This window comes from Homo sapiens, chromosome 4 (assembly GCF_000001405.40).
Source record: "Homo sapiens chromosome 4, GRCh38.p14 Primary Assembly".
Taxonomy (NCBI): domain Eukaryota; kingdom Metazoa; phylum Chordata; class Mammalia; order Primates; family Hominidae; genus Homo; species Homo sapiens.
Window position 1 is genome coordinate 99,918,483 of NC_000004.12, and position 21,277 is coordinate 99,939,759.

At 35.4% G+C, this 21,277-nt stretch overlaps 1 protein-coding gene across 7 annotated transcripts in view; it reads right to left on the reverse strand.

Moving 5' to 3' along the window:
* The window catches only part of DNAJB14 (DnaJ heat shock protein family (Hsp40) member B14), a 50,371-nt gene that overhangs the window by 22,235 nt on the left and 6,859 nt on the right, over positions 1-21,277 (reverse strand). For 2 of the 7 annotated variants that reach the window (XR_938772.3, NM_001031723.4), the window contains exons 2-3: positions 11,968-12,139; positions 4,558-4,703 (exon numbers count right to left, since the gene is read on the reverse strand). Coding sequence is in view for 6 of the 7 variants with exons in the window: in NM_001031723.4 (NP_001026893.1) it covers positions 4,558-4,703; positions 11,968-12,139 (318 nt within the window). In the remaining variant the exon portion in view is untranslated. Of the gene's footprint in view, positions 1-4,557; positions 4,704-5,201; positions 5,396-6,277; positions 6,334-9,234; positions 9,357-10,059; positions 10,136-11,967; positions 12,140-21,277 lie in introns of those variants that run through there. The other 5 variants (XM_047416185.1, XM_047416184.1, XM_047416186.1 and 2 more) reach the window with 5 other exon arrangements.

Genomic DNA, 21,277 nt, shown 5'->3' on the forward strand with positions numbered 1-21,277 from the left:
GGTATTATCTTATGAGAGTCTGGATCTTATTTACATATTTTGTTTTTATTGTATTCCTCTGACTCCACTTTGGCAGAGAAGGGGGAATACCATCTCATTGTTCCTAAGTGGGAGTGGAAGTCCAGGGTTTTTCCCTTGGCCTCTGAAGACACTCAAGGGGAGGGGTCCCATTGGATAGATACGTAAGTTCCCTTATGGGAACATCAGGCCTCCACTTACGTCTCCCTGGCTAGGAGGAGAAGAGATACTTCATTACTGTTCTCCATTTAACTTCCCTGATACCATAAGGAAATGACTTTGTTACCTGTGGGTGGTGACTGAAGTCCTGACTGTGCATTAGGCTACCTATGATACTACCCTAGCAGGGAGAATGAGCACCCTTTTATTGCCAGGTGGAGGTGAAAGTCCACATGATCTCCACTGACATCATGAGGGAAGCCTTTCTTACTACCCAGCATAAATGAAAGTCTAAGCTATCTAGTTAACCTTCTCTGTTACCATCCCAGCAGGGAGCTTAGAGCATCTCATTACAGCATAGAGAGGGTGGTAGCATCTCATTACAGCACAGAGGGGGTGGTAGTATAGGCTCTCTACTCAGACTTTGCTAGTGTGGGTCAGGGTGGGGCCACAATTTTTCCTGTGGTGTTTGCAGTAGAGTGGCTACTGTTTTTCTGTCTTTCTAGGCTATCCCTTTCCTGATCATTTGGCTAGATAAGGCAGGCTTTTCTTGGGGCTTTTCTGTCTATATGTATTGGTGTTTTGGGGTTGCCTACTCCTCCAGCACCTAATCTGGGATATATATGGGGTAAAAAAATACCTAGGCCAGGCATGGTGGCTCACACTGGTAATCCCAGCACTTTGGGAGGCTGAGGTAGGTGGATCACGAGGTCAGGAGTTCAAGACCAGCCTGGCCAAGATGGTGAAACCCCATCTCTACTAAAAATACAAAATAATTAACTGGGATTGGTGGCAGGCGCCTGTAATCCCAGCTACTTGGAAGGCTGAGGCAGAGAATTGCTTGAACCCGAGAGGCAGAGGTTGCGGTGAGCTGAGACTGCGCCACTGCATTCCAGCCTGGGTGACAGAGCAAGACTCCATCTTAAAAAACAAACAAACAAACAAACAAACAAAAACCTAAGCAACTAACTAATATGTTGTTCTTTGAATCCTGAGGTCCCTACCTAGTTGGTCTGCCTTTTTTCTCTCCATCTTTCAGAGTCTTCCTATGTTTGTTTTCTTTATTTTATATATTAATGTTTGGGGTTTTCAGTTGTACTCATTGGGAGAAATGGGGAAAAGTATATCTGTCCTATCTTCCTGAAAGTGGAAGTCCTCATGGAATTTTAGATCACCCACCTCATTTTCGCTGCCAAGGTTTTGCCAACCCCTCTCTTTAACCATAGAAATCATGCTAACTCTTGAGAAAACTCTTAATTTTAACCTTAATTCTAACTATTATGAAGGCTTTCCCAATTACTCTGCTCACAATGAGTCTTCATCTTTCTAACTTTTCTTTGGACTTCTGTAGTCTGTTTTGGTATTTAAATATAGTTGGTCTTCTGTGAGATCCTGGGTAAATCTGAGTCTCAATTTTTTTATTTTTGAAATAAGAATGACACTGGTCTCTTAACTATTTGATGAGATTTTTAAATAAGCATTAAATGTAAAAATGGGAATGAAAAACTATGTTTGTTAAATGTGAGGCATTACTATATCGCAAAAGTTCTGTGTAAGGTTTATTTCCCCCTTATGAATTATAAATTATTTGGGGAAGAGGATATCTCAGATTCTCTCACTGTATTTCTCTACAAGAACTAGCCCAAATGGCAGAATTAAACTCTTTGTTCTTAGAGATATACTCTAGATGTTCATATTGAACTACCAGAACTAATACAAGCAACAACTCCCATTCCACTACTACTTGTCAAGCAAACACATAAACAACTAATCCATGCCCCATTATTACATTCATGTGTATGTCAACAGACACAGGTATTATTCAAATAGTCTCTGAAATACTTGGGAATCTTTGAAGATAATGTAGATGGGTATGTTTTAAAGACATCTACATCAGAAAAAAGGAAAGGGACTTATTTCATTAAAATATTTTTTTAAAATATGTTTACATGTATTTTGCAAGTCACTTTACATGTAAATAAAATATTCCCCTCTTGGGAAACATATAATCCTAACTGGAAGGACAAAATAGCTATATGAACATATGAGTTCATTTAGTCCATTCTCCTTGAGAGCAATCTTTTTTATTTTTAAAGCTTTACAAAACACACAAATGAAACATCTCTTCATTTAATTACTAATTACCTCTTCTTTTTCTATTCTTGAAGGAAATGAAAGCAAGTAGTTTCCATTTTCTGTAAAAAGTGTTTTAGTAATTACAGAGCAATCAATCCATACTTTAGCTTTTATAAAAAAGACAATAGTATTGTCTTTGCTCAGAGATAAATGGCTTAGTATTCCAAAAACAGACTGATTGGTTAAAAATAAAATAAGATGATACAGAAGATAATGAGAAGATCCTGTGTGCTAAATGAATGAAACCTGCCATTTCTGTGTGATGATGCCATCTGTAATATTTTCTAATTAACTACTGTTACTCGCCAAGCGTGTGTGGATTACAACTTGAGTTTTCTATGCAGTTTCCACTCAGTGAAAAATGGGCTCATCAGCCAATTCCCTATTCTGATCCTCTTTGGGACTAATAAACTGGCATTCTGATTTACAGGTAATCTCTTTGTGTATTGAACAATGTATCCTCTCCTCAGATATAAATCACTTCCCGGCATGTTGGTAAGTATTAAGTTTCTAGTTTTGCAAAGCAGAGCACTAAACTCTGAAATGTACCACATGAAAGTGTAACCAGTTTTGTAAAACCCCACTGAGTGTCTAGCGGGCTTCCTTAGGTGACATCTATGTTGCTAACCTATTCAAAACGCAACACAGGCTGCAGAAATATGTTACATACATTTAGTGTTATTCAAAGATGCTAACATGACTTCAATATAGAAGTGGAAGAAATAGTTTAATGTTCTTAGCATTAATAAAGAATTAACATTGAAATCACTTAGCAGATCACAAACATACAAATAACCCACTGCCAAAATATTTTAAACATTTTTAAAACTCAAAAAATTTTAAATTAAATTTGTGGAACTCATAAATCTAAACTCACTTTTAGCTTTTGGGGGAATATATGATAATAAATTAGCTATTTAAAGATTTCAGTTACTTTTTCTGGTAACTCTGTGACTGCATACATTAGGCTCAAGCTATAAAACAAATTAAACAAATATTTATTGTATTTGACAATTCCATCAGAAATTTCCCAACTTTCTGTACTATTGAATTATAAATTAACCTAAGTGCTATTATCTGTGTTTTTTTAAAATGAAAGCTTTATCTTTGTTTAATAAAGGTGTGTATTTGGAGGAAATAAAATAATGGCACTATTTTCTGGATACATTCTTCAGGTAATGAACTGACGGAAATGTAATTTGCAAGTTAGTGTTTTGGAGTAAAGCTTTTCCTGTACTTTCAACATGCCACTTTTACTTTAAGGAAACAAACTGAGACAGCTCTCGCTGTCACAGTGGTATTTTACTTTCACCAGCACCACTTTGGCAGTGGCTTTTATTGGAATATATTATTAATTCCCAAATGTATTTTCCTTGGCAACTTCCTTCAAGAAATAAAACTGTTTTGGAAACAATCTTAACGGTATTTTCATGAAGGACCAATTGCTTCTTCTACCTTTTTGGAAGATGTTTAAAATGAGTATCTACTTCCAGTTATTCTAAGACCCCACCATTGTACTGTAAACATTATACACTGGGTTTATGAATGCCAAATTCACAAGAATGAACAATCACAAATTTAGGCATTTAACTATGAATTAGAAATTAATTATTACAAATAAATTGTATTTAACAAAATATAAAACTACAAAATCACTTCTCTGACATTTATTAAATTGGCAAAAAATTTAAAGAATATTGGGATGGAAAATAAAAAAATAAATAGTAGGCAAGAGGAAAGATATTAATTTTTAAAAAGAAAAAAATAACATTAGCTAAAACTACATATATAAAATGAAAAAACTGGGCAAAGTTTAATAGAAATAAAAGAACACTGGGGAGCTATTTCTTAAATATCCAAATTCCACACAGTCTCTTGTACCTTAAAAACTCAAAAAAACTATATTTTGCTTTTAGTTCATTTAGAACCAGATGACAATACGCTAGAAGCTCATGCATAATCATCACCCTATTTGTTCCTGGTAAACAAGAAAGCATGCATATGTGCCTAGAAAAGTTACTTGAGACTGTATCAGAACTGGAATGTTGCTTTTGTGAAGCCAAACTGCATTTGTTTGCCTTCGGGTATAACCAGTTAATACTGAAGTTTTAAAGGATTTTCCAGACTCTTGCTTGTGCTGGTCTCTAAATGCACCAGTCCAAAAGCAGAACTTAATATTCTGAAACGCCGTAAAGTGAATTCTAAAGACAGCTTAGTAAAATTGCTTTAAAAGGTTTACTTTACTTTTAAAAGCATCTGTTGCTCCAGGTGCATGGTTTTTGTCTGGATGAAACTTCAAAGCAAGCTTTCTATAAGCTTTTTTCAAATCTTCATCACCAGCATCTTTCGTAACTCCAAGTACTTCATAGTAATTTTTACATTTGTTTATGCTGTGAACAAGAGAGTGTGTTATAATGTAAATTTCAAGGAAGACGGTCATGTAATATCTCTAATTTTTAATTTATTAGAATACTATAAAGAACTATCTGTGGACTCTTTCTCAAAATCTAATGAAGGCTTATCCCTTTAAGGATTAGTCTGCTTCATTCTCTTTTTCGACCACAGACCATTCCTCCAACCTCTTCCCGAATCTAAGAAGAGTAAACCATGAAAATGTCCTTAGTGTAATGTATCACAACTACAGAGAAGTAAACAAAGCCCATAATAATTGTGGATGAAAGTCAGAGCATATATTGTAACTAAAATGAGACAATAATAATAATTTTTTAGTACTTGTAAGTGGATAAATAAATTCCAAAACTCCTCAAAAGTATGTCACAGCTAAGAATGAACATGCATTACATTCCAAAAATTTTGTTCTTGCATAATGTAGATCTAACCAACTATCAAAGCAACAGTTTAGTACACGCAAAACAACAGCAGTATTCTATGGTTTAAATGTCAATATTTATTTATTTTTGATATAGATGGGGTCTTGTTATGTTGGGGCTGAGGCTAGTCTTGAAATTCGGGCCTCAAATGATCCTCCCATCTCAGCCTTCCAAAGTGCTGGGATTATAGGCATAAACCACTGCACCCGGCCATCCCCGTTATGCCAAAGATAATTTATCTGTATCACTCTCTGAAAAAGATAACATCTCATGATAAAATATAACACGTGACTCAAAAAATGTTATCCCTGATTTTCATTGTGATAAGCACATTTCTAAAGATTATATACATACAGTTTGTACCTTAAAGATTTAAGAGATTTAAGCCTGAAATCTTTAAAGTATATTAGGATTAGAAAATAAATACTCTGAATGGAACAGAGAACATTACGTACATGTGGATGCCAACCTTCTTCCACAACCTAGTAATTTACTTTCACAAAAGCCACAGTACATTTTCAAAATTTTTGGAGAGTACTTTGCAACTTTAGATGTGTTCCATGTGCAGGTGGCTTGATGACAGAGTTAGTGACAGGCAAAATGATCTAGGGTATAAGTGGACACTGGCAGCAAAAGAACTGCAAAGACTGACTCAAAGTTTTCAAAGAAAAGAGACAAGATTTTTTTTTTTTTTTTTTTACTATTACACCTATTAGTTATCACAGTGCTTGGCACACAAAAGGATCTCAGTAAATATTTTTGAAGTAAATGAGCCTTAGCTTTCTTTATATAATGAAGGCATCTATCATTTGTTATATGAACTTGGGGGTAAAAAGGGAAAGTAATATAAAATTGTACAAATTTACAGAAATTAAAATTGGATTTTTCTACTTTAGATACTTAAAAACATTAACATACATCAATTTTATTCCAAAAACATGACATTTCCTTTATTTAGTCAATAATATTTATTGAATACTAACTATGCCCAGACAGTGTTCTAGGCATTTGACATATATCTGTAAACAAAAAAAGAGAATGATCCCACCTGTGTAGAGACTCATTCTCCTAGAAATGTTTAGAAGCTATGTGATAGAAAAAAAGGAAATGGGGGGCATTTATAAAATACCTACTGTGTGTTAGGTACAGGTCCACCATCCCATATCAATGTTCCAATATCCATAAAGCTCTGAAAAATCAAAGTTATTCTATAACTAATTTGACTGCATAAAAAACTGAATTCAACTGTAGATTTTGCCTCTAGGCAAAAATCTGACCGAAAAGATGTGAAGCTACTACAGAATCTTCATTTATCCCATTTAAGTGTGAATACCTGTATGTTTTGCTGTAGAAATGTTACTATTTGTTATGGACTGCTGCCCTAGACTCTAAGATGTATAATATAAAATACACTGTCATCCCTTGGTATCCACAGGGGATTAGTTCCAGGATCCTCCCTCCTTGAATACCAAAATCTACAGATGCTCAAATCCCTGATATAAAATGGTACAGTATTTACATACAACCTTTACACATCTTCCCATGTACTTTAAATAATCTCTAGGTTATAAATAGTACCTAAGACAATGTAAATGCTACGTAAATGGTTGTTACACTATATTGGTTGTTTAATTTGTATTATTTTTTATTGTTGTATTGTTATTTTTCACCAAATACTTTCAATTCAAAGTTGGTTAAATCCACAGATGCAGAACCCATAGATGTGGAGAGCCGACTATATTAGTACCTTTCTAAAATATGAAGAATTCTGAATTCCAAATTGCATTTGGTCACAAAGATTTCACATAAAGAATTGTAGAATTTTATTATACTGATTATTTTACACAAATTATCTCATTTACTCCTCATTTGGTAGATATTATTCCTATTTAACCAATAAGGAAACCAATCTTTGAATGGTTAAGTAAATTGCCTAAATTCACATAACCAAGTAACAGATGAGAATAAGGACTTATTTCTTCAACAAAAATTTACTAACCATTTACTTTCTGTTAGGCACAATTTCAGATGCTACAGTGGTGAATAAAACAGTCAAAATCACATTAAATTTACAATTGGGAGAAAAACAAGCAATAAACAAATATATAAGTAAAATATAATGTACATCATATGGTGATAAATATCTGGAGAAAAATAAAGAAGCTAATAGAAACAGAGAAAGGAAGGGCAGGCCTTCTATTTCAAATAAGTAATAAAGGAAGGCCTCACAGTTAAGAATTCAAATCTGTTTATCTGACTTGAAAATCTTGCTGTCTCAGAACTGGAATACAGAAAAAAGGATACCCTTCAGACTTCAAAGTGACCTATCATCTTCCTATTTCTTTCTTACCATCAGTATTGAAGCTGACTCTCTTACCTCCTAGATCTTTGCAATTGCTTTTGGTGCTGAGCACACCTTCTCTGCCTCTCTTCTTGGTTAGCTAGTTTCTACAACTTCTCCGGACCCTGACTTAGCTCTTCCTTTTCCTAAGAATCCAAATTCCTCAGGACTAGGTTTGCTGCCCCTCTTATATCCTCCCCACATCCTCTGAACTTAGCCTTATCCCAACAATTACCAAAGTGTACTACAGTTGCCTCTTTACTTGTCTGATAACACTTCTAGATCACAGATTCTTTGAAGGCAGGGATTATGTTTTGTTCACCATATATGTTGGATGGATGGACAAATGACTTTCAATTTGAGAGCAGAAATGGTGAGGATCTAAAAAGTCACGTTCAGATCAAATGTGATGAATGCTGTCATGAAAATGTAGTTAGTACTAAAAATCATTTGGAATAGAAGAGAAGCAGTTAATAGAAGTGAAACAGACTGTGAGACAAGGTGGAGAGGTACGAATATGGCAGACACTACCTGAATGCAAAAAATAAAAGGTAAATTAAACACTGAACAATCCTAAAGCCATTACTACTTGGTTTGAGTGTGTAGGATGTTTAATTATGTTCCAGATTAAGCCTCTAAATTGTCTTGTTTATAATTACTGAGCACAAAAGCCTGGTCAACTTAAAAAGACAGCTGGATACTGTAGACAAAGTAGGTGAAAATTTGCAGTGCTCTAGATAGGGTCATAAAGCTAAGAATTGCCACAGACAAACAAAAAAAAAAGGGGGGGCCAGACATGAAAAACAGTTATTTCACTAACTCTTAGCTGTATCCAGCTCCACCATATCTCCTCTGCACTAAATTTTTCATCATATATTAGAGAAGAAATTCTTGAGAAGCCAGAAGTTACAGTCATCATCACCAATGGACAGCCTGAAGACTATGTATTTGAAGTAATGCTCCAAATATACCCATTCACCTAAGTTTTCACACCTGAATGAGAAATTATCATTCATATAATTATTTTCATTCATACTGTTGTTCATCATGCTCCTTTTCATCAGCTACATGTGTTTGTCACACTTTTTACAATCTGCTGCTTTCTAAAAGAGTAAAACCTTCTCCTGCCTCACTGAAGAATTAAAAGAAATTAAAAAGGAGTAACCCATTACCTATCTTGGAAGGAAATAATGTACAACAAGGCCAAAAGGATCTGTGTGGAGCTCAACAATGGGAAAACTCTGCCTGGTCCAGACTTTATATCTTCTCTTATGTGCATGGAAGCATAGTTGGTGGGAGAGGAAGGTCATTTTTCGATTCTCTTTTTTTCATGTGTGCTATATAGCTAATTATTTAAATATACTCCAAATTTAACTAGTGTTTAAGGAAACATTTATTTATTCCTGAGAAAAAGAATTACTTATTTTATAAGTTTAGCGAAATGATTTCTTCTGAAAGAACGGAAGCTTAAATCAAATCTTAAATTCAAATCCCCATAATTAACAGTTGTACAGTGTTTCTAATTGATAAATACAATGATACTCCAGTTAATAATTTCACACTGATCTTGTAAAGTTTTAAAGTTTTTCAATGGTATGTTAAAAATTTCAAATAAGATCCATGACAACTTTGTCTCAATTATTTTTCAATACACTTCAACTCAAAAAAAACAAATCGCCAAGTTTAACAGAATATTAGTTTACAAAGTTACACACTTTCTCTTCAGTCTTACTGTAAGCTAGCTCTTACTTATGCAATGGATGCAGTATTATTGCAAGACTTCTCCCCATTGAGCCAAATTGTCACTGAGCAACTTGTTTGCATAATCGTGCTAACCAACAAGATAACATGGCTTTCTTCAGAAAAATCCCCTGTGTATAGGTAAAAGAAAAAACAAAAACATACATCATGTAAGTGTTTGCTGGTGATCTGTACCCTCACTAAAGCAACACTTATGAAGGCTAATATAAGAGAAAAGGTATATTCAGCTAAGAAACTCACATAAAGTACAGACTAAAGTATTTTGAAAACTTGGGGATTCTCTTAGAGACTGTTCCAATCATATTTAGTCCCCAAAAGAAAAAAAAATTACATTTAATTAAAAAGGTATAATGAGATTATTGACCAGAGGACCAATCTCTAATACAGGTATACTACTAAGCTATTTCTTCCACTCTTAAAGAATTCATGGTCCCAAATGTGGCTGGGCCTTAAAACTAAATCAGCAATACTTCATTCCCTTTGCTTTTCTCCTCTGCAAATATTCCATACTTTTACCACTCTCTTAAGCTTTCAACCTCATCTCTTTTCTTCTAACTCTCAGAAGACAGCCTCATCTCCAATTTGACAGAGAAAACAGAAAAATTCCTTCCACCTTTTATGTCTCCACCTGTATGTCTGTATGTCTCTGGCCACATACAGAGTGTATCTACACTCAGCATCATCTTTCATTCTTCCATTCTCAAGGTGTCTCCTTGCCTACAGCCAGTTCCTCTGGGCTTTGGAGAACCACACACACAACCACCCACATACACACAAAACCAACCCCACCCCACATATATATATAATCAATACCAGAACAAAGAGGCATCAATGCTCTTCCTTCCTTATTTCTACCACACCTTGGACTACTCTTCTTTTTCTTTCAAGGCTAGGGTAGAGGAAATGAAGAAACAGACTTTTTAAAATAACACCAGATTTAGGAGAGTCTTCTTTTTCAAAACTTTCAACCATAGTTTTTTGGTAAACTTTCAAATATATAGGTGATTCTATATTCTTAAATATATATATATAAAATACATTTAACTTTCTTTGAATCCTTCATTGAGAATATGTTCTCCCAACATAAATTAAATCCTATAAGCAAATACAATTTGTTTTAGGATGTGGTTTCCAGAAACGTGTTTCAAGCACACTGCTTACTAATAAACGTTTTTTACAAAATAAATTCAAAAGTAAGTCTCTTACTTATTCACTTCTTTCACTTATTCAGCTACCTCTGACACAGTACTATAAGTATAAAAATGGTTAGCAGCATTATTTATATTCTCAAAGTGCTTCACTACCATTCATACTAATCAAATACTCTACCATGGCTTTACCATGATTAAGGAATCCTTTTTTGTTTGTTTGTTTGTTTGTTTGAGAAGGTGTCTTGCTCTGTCGCCCAGGCTGGAGTGCAGTGGTGTGATCTTGGCTCACTGCAACCTCTGCCTCTTGAGTTCAAGTGATTCCTCAGCCTCAGCCTCCCGAGTAGCTGGGATTACAGGTGCCTATCACCACGCCCGGCTACTTTTTCTATTTTTAGTAGAAATGAGGTTTTGCCATGTTGGCCAGGCTGGTCTTGAACTCCTGACCTCAGGGGATCTGCCCGCCTTGGCCTCCCAAAGTGCTAGGATTACAGGCGTGAGCCACCACACTCAGTCAGAGAATCGTTTTTTCTCATTGTAATCACTCTCAAATAAAATGTTACAATCAAGCTTTAGCATTTAAATATATAGGGACAAATGCAAAATATAAATATATGGGTATTTGATTTTAAAATTAAGATATGGTAACAAATCACTTTCCTTAATAAATAAAACCTGTATCTCAAAATACACTTCAATTACAAATTATGGTAAATAAAAAGTTGAGAATGGGGTAAAAAGGTGAAAAAAGAAATAAAATTAAAAGAGAAACAGACAAGAAAGGACAAATGAGAAAGACTTAACCTAACTAATTTTAACTACTCTTCACTTGAGTTAGTTCACTATATTATGATTCACTCTCCATGAGAATTCTTGAATTAATCTCTGTTCAAAATCCTTAATCTTTAGTTTCCCTAGCAAAGTAATATCAGCACAACATCAATACAGCTTCCATAAGCTTTAGCAGGAAACAAAACAGACTTTTCTCTAGTGTTTCAAACTCAAAGTTTCATTTCATTTCCAGAAAACCTTTTACTTATAAAATTAAAGCCAGATACCCAAAACCCAGTGTATAACTTTTCAACTCTAACATTTCTGCGAAAGGACATTATAGTGTCTGCATATATATAAAGATAGCCCTTCAAAAAGAATATAAATAGAAAAAAATCCTTCACTAATATAAGTAGGAAATTGAAAATGTTGCTATTACACTCAATATTCCTCTCATGAAATTCTCCCATTTTCATCTATGTAAAATAAAACAATTCTTCATCCTCTTTTAATATTGCTACATAAACAACATATTGTGTGAAAAAGCTGCAATAATTTTTCTTAAAAAAATTATTTGGAAAAAGCTTTGTAACTTGAGGTTACTTTAAAAAATAGAATATTCTATAGAGTTGGTACTTTACAGACCAGTTTTATAAAGAATATGAAGCATAAGACACACCCAGAGTTCAATTCCTTGATGTCTATTCTTCTAATGTTATATTTCACTTTTTTCAGGTGTTATAACATCAAAAAGTACATTAATACCAATTATGATTGAGATGTAAACCATATTTATTCCTACCTGAGAACTCCATCTACTTGGTCTTTGGTATAGCCTTTTCCACCTTCACCACTACCAGATGTGCTGTCCTTTGTGCAATTAGGCTTGCTTTGATCGCCACTACCTGATGGTTTTCGGCAATGAGGGCTATTTCCAGCCGTGCTTCCATTTTTCATAATTATTTCCAATAGTGCTGTAGAAAGATAAAGTACACTATGCCTGTTTACATCAACGTACATACACAAGATCCTGAGAAGAAAGTTTTAAAGCAGACAAATTATGAAGTGTGTTCTCCAAAAAGATTCACCATAGGATCTTTTTAATTAGCACGCATTCCCCTAAGTACTTAACTGTTTACAGAACACTAATCACCATCTAGAAGTAGAATGTTAAGTTAAAGCTAGTAACTTGAGATTATAATCATTCAATTATTTATGACATAATTTTATTTGTCATATCATGTGACACTGCAGATTACCAAAGAAAAAGAGGTAAGTCTTTAAAGTAGCCAATGAGATCATCCACAAAGTAACAGAAATTTAGACTTCCTGTTTAATTCTCAATAGCAACAATGGGAGCCAAGATACTGGAATATTATCATCCAAATGCTCAGAAAAAATAAATTGCTAACTTGAGTTATGCACTAATTTCCCAGAAAGTGCACAAGATAAAAACATTTTCCAACAAATAGAAAATTTATCACTAAAAGATTTTCACTAGAGGATACTGTAATATATACATTTCAGGCAAAAGGAAAACATTTACAGATAGGCTGAGATGGAAAAAGGAATGGTAAGCAAATAGTGTGGTAAATATGAGAGTAAATGTGAACAATGAGTGTAAAAAATAATTCTTATCAAGGATTTGCTTTTTAATAATCTGGGGAGGAGAAACATAAAAGTAGGGGTAGAAAGAATGTGAATGAAATAAGGTTGGCCATATATACTCATAATGGTTCAAGACAGGTGAGTGATTGGGAGTGATTATACTATTTTTTTCTCCTTTTGTGTGTGCTTAAAACTTTCCATAATAAAAGTTAAAACTAAACATAAAAAACATTAACAAAACTAATGGAGAAAAAGGGAAATCCATCATCATTATGGATTTTAACACATTTCAATCAGTAACTGATATAAGGTAAATTTTAAGAAATCATTGAGGATACAGATGACTTAGACATCAAATTTATAAGCTTTATCTAAGAGATATAACATTATACCCAACTAGTGAATATCTCTTTCTCACAGGCCCACATTATCGCTAGACCATAGAGTGGTCCTTTTCAAATCTCAGAGAATTATTACCATATATATATATATATATACCACAATCTATGAGCACAATACAGTTATATGAGAAATCAGTTACAAAAAATGTAACTAAAAAAATCATAAATGGGTTGGAAAAGAAAAAACAAAATAAAAAAATCTAGACAGCTTGTGTATCAAAGAAATAACTACAATAGAAATTACAAAATACTTAGAACTGAATAGAAATTAAAACACCAAATATCAGAACTTGTGGGTCAACAACTAGCCATCCACATGCAAAAGAATAAATTTGGACTCCATCACACTGGACACAAAAATTAACTCGGAATGGATCATGAATCTAAGTGTAAGAGCTAAAGCTTTAAAACTCTTAGAAGAAAATACAGAAGTAAATCTTCATGATGTTGATTTAGGCAAAATATTCTTAACTACAGAAACAAAAGTAAATGTGATAAAAGGAAAACAGAGAAAATGGGCTTTATCAAAATTTAAAACTTTTGTACTTCAAAGGCTATAATCAACAGAATGGAAAAAAAAATGTTTACAAATAACATACCTGATTTTCAAAAAAAAGTATCCAGAATATATAAAGAATTCTTACAGTTCAGTAATAAAAAGATCAAAAACACCGGTTAAAAAAACGGGTGAAGGATCTGAATAGACAATTTCTCCAAAACAAACAAACAAATGGTCAATAAGCACAAAAAAAAAGTTGCTCAACATCATTAGCTATTAGGGAAATAAAAATCAAAACCACAAAGAGAAGTATCACTTCAAACCCACATCCAAAAGATGAACAATAGCAAATGTTGAGAAGGATGGGGAGAAATTGGTACCCTAATAAGTTTCTAGTGAGAATGTAAAATGATGCTGCTACTTTGAAAAAATCATCTAGTAGTTCTTTAAAAAAGTAAACATAGTTACCATTTGACTCAACAATCCCATTCCTAAGTACATATCCAAGAGAAATGATATACAAAAACTGATTCACAAATGTTCATTGCAACATTATTCACAATGGCAAAAAGATACAAACAACCAAATATCTATCAACTGATGGATAATGATATATCCAGACAATGAAATATTTTCAAAAATAAAAAGAAACAGAGTACTGATATGTGCTACAACATGAATGGACCTTGAAAACATTATGCTAAGTGAAAGACTCCAGTCACAAAAGATGGTATACTATACGGTTCCGTTTATATGAAATGTACAGAACAGGCAAATCTACAGGGACAGAAAGTAAATGAATCATTGCCAAAGCTGGGGGTGCAGGGGAGGGTGGAACTGGGAATAAATGAGGAGTGACTGCTAAAGAGTAATGAGGTGTCTTTTTGAAGTAAGGAAATGTTCTAAAATTGATTTCCATAATTGTTGTGCAGCTCTGTTAAAATACTAAAGAAACACTGAATGGTATAATTGAAATGAGTGAATTGTATGGTATGTGAATTATGTCTCAATAAAGCATGTATATATATATACACACACTCTCAATATTATGTCTCAATAATGTCTCAATAAAGTATGTATATATATACACACACTCAACTAGGTACCAATCTAATCAGTTATTAATGAGAAATATAACATAAACAGTCTTTTTTTTTTTTTTTTTTTTTTTGAGACTGAGCCAGGCTGGAGTGCAGTGGTATAATCTCGGTTCACTGCAACCTCCGTCTCCTGGGTTCAGGCAATTCTGTCTCAGCCTCCTGAGTAACTGGGACTACAGGTACCTGCCCCCGACACCTGGCTAATTTTTTGATTTTTTTTTTAGTAGAGATGGGGTTTCACCATATTGGCCAGGCTGGTCTCAAACTCCTGACTTCAAGTGATCCACCCGCCTTGGCCTCCCAAAGTGCTGGGATTACAGGCGTGAGCCACACGCCTGGCCAATTTTTAAACTATAGTCTGTATTTAGTCTGCAATCGCAATGAACGGAAACCAGCATGGTCTAAGGGAGGTAGTGGTTCACAACATTTAGACATAAAAACTTTTGTGGGAATTCTGGAAAAAAGGCTATGACATCAGCTTAAATTTTAAATCTCTCCGAATTCCCTCATAAAGTCAGAGAAAACCTCATGCACAAAATCCCAAAATATAAGGTGGGGAAAAACCACCAACTGCCACAAGATCTGTGTGGGCAGTGGAGTATAATACAGGGGCATTTGCCAGCCCACAGAACATAAAAAAAAATTAAAAATAAAAATAACCAACAGGGACTCTCTATATAGCACAACAGGCAAAACTGGGAAAAGTGTGTAAAAAGGAATGAGTTTTGCCTACTACAATAGTACACAAGTGCACGGGTCCACAATAAAGCTTTAAAGGCATGGAAGACTCTAGTCACTACATGCCCTCAAAAATAATCAATCAAAGCTCTCTTCCACAACAAAGCCACACCAAGAAGAAACTCCTGGGAACAGGACCCAAACTGAAGAGGACAGGGAAAACAAAAAAAATGAAAAGAGAAACTCCAGATAAAAGTAGGGAAGGATAAAGGAATGAGAAGATCTCATTTAGCAAGGTGACATTTTTAAACATTACACAAAAACAGAAGGATCTCTACGTATTTACCAGCACATAAAAATGAGTAAAAGAAAATGACAGAAGTCAAATCTGATACAAAATTATAAGAAAAAAAGGATGAGTATGAATTAAACCTCTGAAGACGATAAATACACACCATAAACACTTGCTAACAAAACAGATGAACACTTTAATACTTCAAAACAAGCTGAAAAGACTAAAAAATAATGCATGATATAAAAGAACAATATATATCAAAATTACAACATCAGAAATTACTGGCCAGATGCAGTGGATCACATCTGTAATCCCAGCACTTTGGGAGGCTGAGGCGGGTAGATCACCTGAGGTCAGGAGTTCAAGACTAGCCTGGTCAACATGGTGAAATCCTGTCTCTACAAAAATACAAAAATTAGCCGGGCGTGATGACCAGTGCCTGTAATCCCAGCTACCCGGGAGGCTGAGGTGGGAGAATTGCTTGAACCTGGAGGTGGAGGTTGCAATGAGCTGAGATTGAGCCACTGCACTCCAGCCTGGGTGACAGAGCAAGACTGTCTCAAAAAAAAAAAAAAAAAAAAAAAAAAAAAAGAAAAGAAAAAATTATCTCTCAAAAACTTATGTGATAAAACTCAATAAAAAATAAGACATTTTAAAAAATCAATTAAAAAAAGACTAAACTAGAAGAAACTAGACTCATAAATACAACAGGATAATGCTTAAAAGAGAAAGAAAATATACCAGAAGGAAATTTAAAACATTTTTTTAAAAAGTCAAAAAGACAAAAAAATTTCAAGAGAAAACAGCAAATATTAACAGTAAAGATCCAACATATGTACAATAGGAGTACTGAAGAAAAACAAAAAAATAGAACAAATAAACTTTTCTGACATAAAAACAAAAAATCTGAAACTATTAAATGAAAGGGCAAATCACAGACCTAATACTGACCAAGAATAACTAACACCAAGACATATTCTAATAAAATTAAATATCTAGGCAAAAAGAGCAAATGACTTATAAAGGAGAGGAAATTAGACTGTCATCAGACTTTGTTCATCAGTAGTACTTGCATAAAACAATGGAGTAACAGATACACATGGAAAGAAAACGTACAGCAAAGACTTTCTATCCACCAAAATAACTTCAAGCAGTAAAGCCACAGATGAACTGTTTTCAACATTCTAGAATGAATGGAGCTTAGTTCCCACAAGCCCTTCTGGGAATCCACTATAAAACAGGCTTTAGGAATCCAAAATAATTACATATATGCTGACATAAGGACTGGTAGTAGTAAGCATTAAATGTATAGTTATTTATACAACTAAGACTAAATGACGGTTAAGAGAGAGCATACAGCATGTAATGACAGTATCTTCTAACACTGTAGATACGGTTTGAATATTTTCTAAATGGTGGGCTTCCCCTGTTTTTCCCTCTTCTAATAGAAAAATTATTAGGCTTCTTCCTTTCCCTTCTTTTTCCTTTTGGCATCTGGGGCTGGCAATGCCTGAATCCTGAACCAAGGAAGCTTATTGGGACTCAAGAGACAGTCATGGCCAGGTGCGGTGGCTCACGCCTGTAATCCCAGCACTTTAGGAGGCTGAGGCGGAGGGATCACTTGAGGTCAAGAATTTGAGACCAGCCTGGCCAACATGGTGAAACCTCGTCTCTACTAAAAATACAAAAAGTAGCCAGGTGTGGTGGCATGCACCTGTAGTCCCAGCTACTCGGGAGGCTGAGACAGGAGAATCACTTGAACCCAAGAGGCAGAGGTTGCAGTAAGCCATGATTGTGCCACTGCACTCCAACCTCGGTGACACAGACTGTATCAAAAAATAAAATAAATTTAAAAATAGAGACAGTCACAACCAAAAACATGGCTGAGCTCAAGAGGGCCTGGACCAATGGGCTTTTATGTACTAAAATACATAGAAAATTTTACATAAAAGCTCGATTTTATGTAATGAAGCAATTTGTTACATAAAAGGGAAAATGAGCAAATAAGTGGGAGCCACATTTCTCATTCTGTTCTGATTCTCTAACAGAGAACAGAATCACAAACATGGAAATGGAGATGGCTGGAATGAATCCTGTGGCATTTTACTAAAAATGGAAGTGTGTGAATATACTGTATGTGTGTGCATGTGTCACAGATACTAAAATTAATATTGACCAAATTACTATAAATATGTGTAGATCACAAACACATATAACACACATATGTACAGAAATATACATACATGCATTCACGCATACATTTATTTCCTGGCTCTGTCCACTGATAGGGCTAGAAACAATGACACTTCTGTAAGCTATGAGTTCATTTAGTATCTATATCTAGTTTCTAAATACCATTTTCCAGTAAAAGGAGTCAGGACTTCTTGGAGAACTAGCTGATTCCTAGGGCAGAGAAAGTAAAATGTGAGCCTGAAATTTTTTTGTGTTAGGAAATTTAAAAATTCAAAGAACAATGAGAACATGTCCAAAAGACACAGGAGCCAGCCTGAAGGGGCTCGCACTAACTAAATCTGAACACAAAAATAAATGATGATAATGACAGATTAAATCGGAAACCATGAATCTGTAACAGATAATTGAGGCTGAATGCTAACTGATAAATGTAGAAGGAATTATGGAATTAGAAAACCACATTTGGCAACCATCAGAAATTTTTTCAGGAAAGAATAACCAATGGATGCTACAAAGAGACAGTGAAAGTTTGTTGAGTAACAGGACACATACACAGTTTCAAAGTATTTCCCTACAAAACATGTATTTATTACAAAGAAGAAAAGAATAACATCGCCAGGCGCAGTGGCTCACGCCTGTAATCCCAGAACTTTGGGAGGCCGAGGCGGGCGGATCAGGAGGTCAGGAGATCGAGACTATCCTGGCTAACACAGTGAAACCCTGTTTCTACTAAAAAATACAAAAAATTAGCCAGGTGTGGTGGCAGGCGCTTATAGTCCCAGCTACTCGGGAGGCTGAGGCAGGAGAATGGTGTGAACCTGGGAGGTGGAGCTCGCAGTGAGCCGAGATCGCGCCATACACTCCAGCCTGGGTGACAGAGAGAGACTCCATCTCAAAGAATAACATCATAGTGGAGGAAAACAGCAATCACTAACTTAACTAAGTGATCAAAGTAACCTCACCAGTAAGGACCAAATCAACATCATGTGTCTCCTGATATGTTACACTAAGAACACACATCAGCAGGGCACGGTAGCTCACACCTGTAATCCCAGCACTTTGGGATGCCAAGGTGGGCTGATCACTTGAGCCCAGGGAGTTCCAGACCTGCCTGGGCAACATAGCAAAACCTTGCCTCTACAAAAAACACAAAAATTAGCCAGGCATGGTGGCATACGCCTGTAGTACCAGCTACTCGGGAGGCTAAGGTAGAAGAATTACTTGAGCCCAGGAGGCATAGGTTGCAGCGAGCCACGATCATGCCACTACACTCCAGTCTGGGTGACAAAGTGAGACTCAAAAAAAGGAACACACGTCACTTCCATAGTATTACACCAAAAACAAATACGATGAAATATCAGTCAAAGCCAAATTCAGGGCTGGGCATGGTGGCTCATGCCTGTAATCCCAGCACTTTGGGAGGCCAAGGTGGGAGGATCACTTGAGCCCAGGAGTTCAAAACCAGCCTGGAGAACACAGTGAAACCCTGTCTCTATTTATTTAAAAAAAAAAAAAAAAAAAAGTTGAGGGAAATTCTATAAACTCACTGGCCTAGGCCAGGCACGGTGGCTCACGCCTGTAATCCCAACACTTTGGGAGGCTGAGGCAGGCGGATCACTTGAGGTCAGGAGTTCGAGACCAGCCTGGCTAACATGGCGAAACCATGTTAAAAATACAAAAAAAAAAAAAAAAAAAAAAAAAAAAAATAGCTGGGCGTCGTGGTGCATGCCTGTAATCCCAGCTACTTGGGAGGCTGGAGAATCGCTTGAACCCAGGAGGTGGAGGTTGCGGTGAGCAGAAATTAAAAAAAAAAAAAAAATTGGCATATACTCATCAAAAATACCAAGGTCAAGAAAAAAAAAAAGATGGTATCTGGAGAATAAAACATCATGGCCACATAAATGCGACATGTGGACATGTGCTTTTTTTTTTTTTTTTTTGCCATAAGGGGCATAATTGAGAAAACTGGCAGAATGTGAGTAAGGTGAAAGCACTGATTTCATAAACTTGATGGTTACGCTGTGATTATCTAAGAGAGTGTCCTTGTCTTAGAAAATGTATGCTCAGTTATTTAGGGGTAATGGGAGATCATGTCTACAGCTACTGTTAATTGGTTCCAGAAAAACAGACTGTGGTGTGTGTGTGTGTAGAAAGAGAAAGAGAAAGAGAGAAGGGTAGCAGAGGGGGAGAGAGAAAGGTCCTGATAAAGCAAACGTAAAAATTTTAACAAATACAAAGTAAATGAAATGTATTTGGAAATTAGTATTATTTGTATTAAGTTTGAATGATTTTATATTTGTGTAAGTTTGTATTATTCTTGCAACTTTTCTGTAAGTTTGAAATTATTTCAAAATTTTCCAAAACTAAATGTACTAATATAAAGGGGCTCCCACTAACCAAAAACCTAAAAAATGATAACTTGCTAGTTTTTGGAGAATGAAAAGGAATAGCCTCCTTTTCCTGAAAACTGATAAAAGCAATCAAGCATTTATCATGATTTTCCTATATAAACGATACCACTGCATAACCATAAGACAGGTGGAGGAGGAAGTATCTCTTTATATAAATATTTCGGCCAATAAAAAAAAAAACTTTTTAAAAATTGTAGAGCCAGATATGAAAGTGGTTATATATGTTTAATATTTAAAAGTGCCCACCAGCCGGGTACAGTGGCTCACGCCTGTAATCCCAGCACTTTGGGAGGTTGAGGTGGGTAGATCACCTAAGGTCAGGAGTTCGAGACCAGCCTGGCCAACATGGGGAAACCCCGTCTCTACTAAAAATACAAAAATTACCTGGACATGGTGGTGCATGCCTGTAGTCCCAGCTACTTGGGAGGCTAAGGCAGGAGAACTGCTTGAACCCGGGAGATGGAGGTTGCAGTGAGCCAGGATTGTACCATTGCATTCCGGCCTGGGCAACAGAGCGAGACTCCATCTCAAAAAATTTTTTTAAATGAAATAAAATAAAACAAAATAAATAAACGTGGCCACGAAGACCCACTGCATGCTAATTAGAAGTTATCTGTGTGTTCCTCCTTTCATTTTTAGCACAAACATGTTCTCCCATGGTTCCTCTGGACATTTTCCATGTTAACACCTAGATTTTGGATATTGCTAAAGCAGAATCATATAGTTGTTACAGATTTTTGGCAGTTACTATGATAATGAAGATTTTTCTGGAATTTCATGCACAGGGCTTCTGCCTAACAGTAGCTGTGTGCATACATGAGCTCATACTACACAGTCTTTGGCTCCATCAAGTGAAAATGTGGACAAGCTGTATTACTTCTGGGCCTCAAAATCTAGCTTAATCATCTTAAAAATGGAATCAGCAAA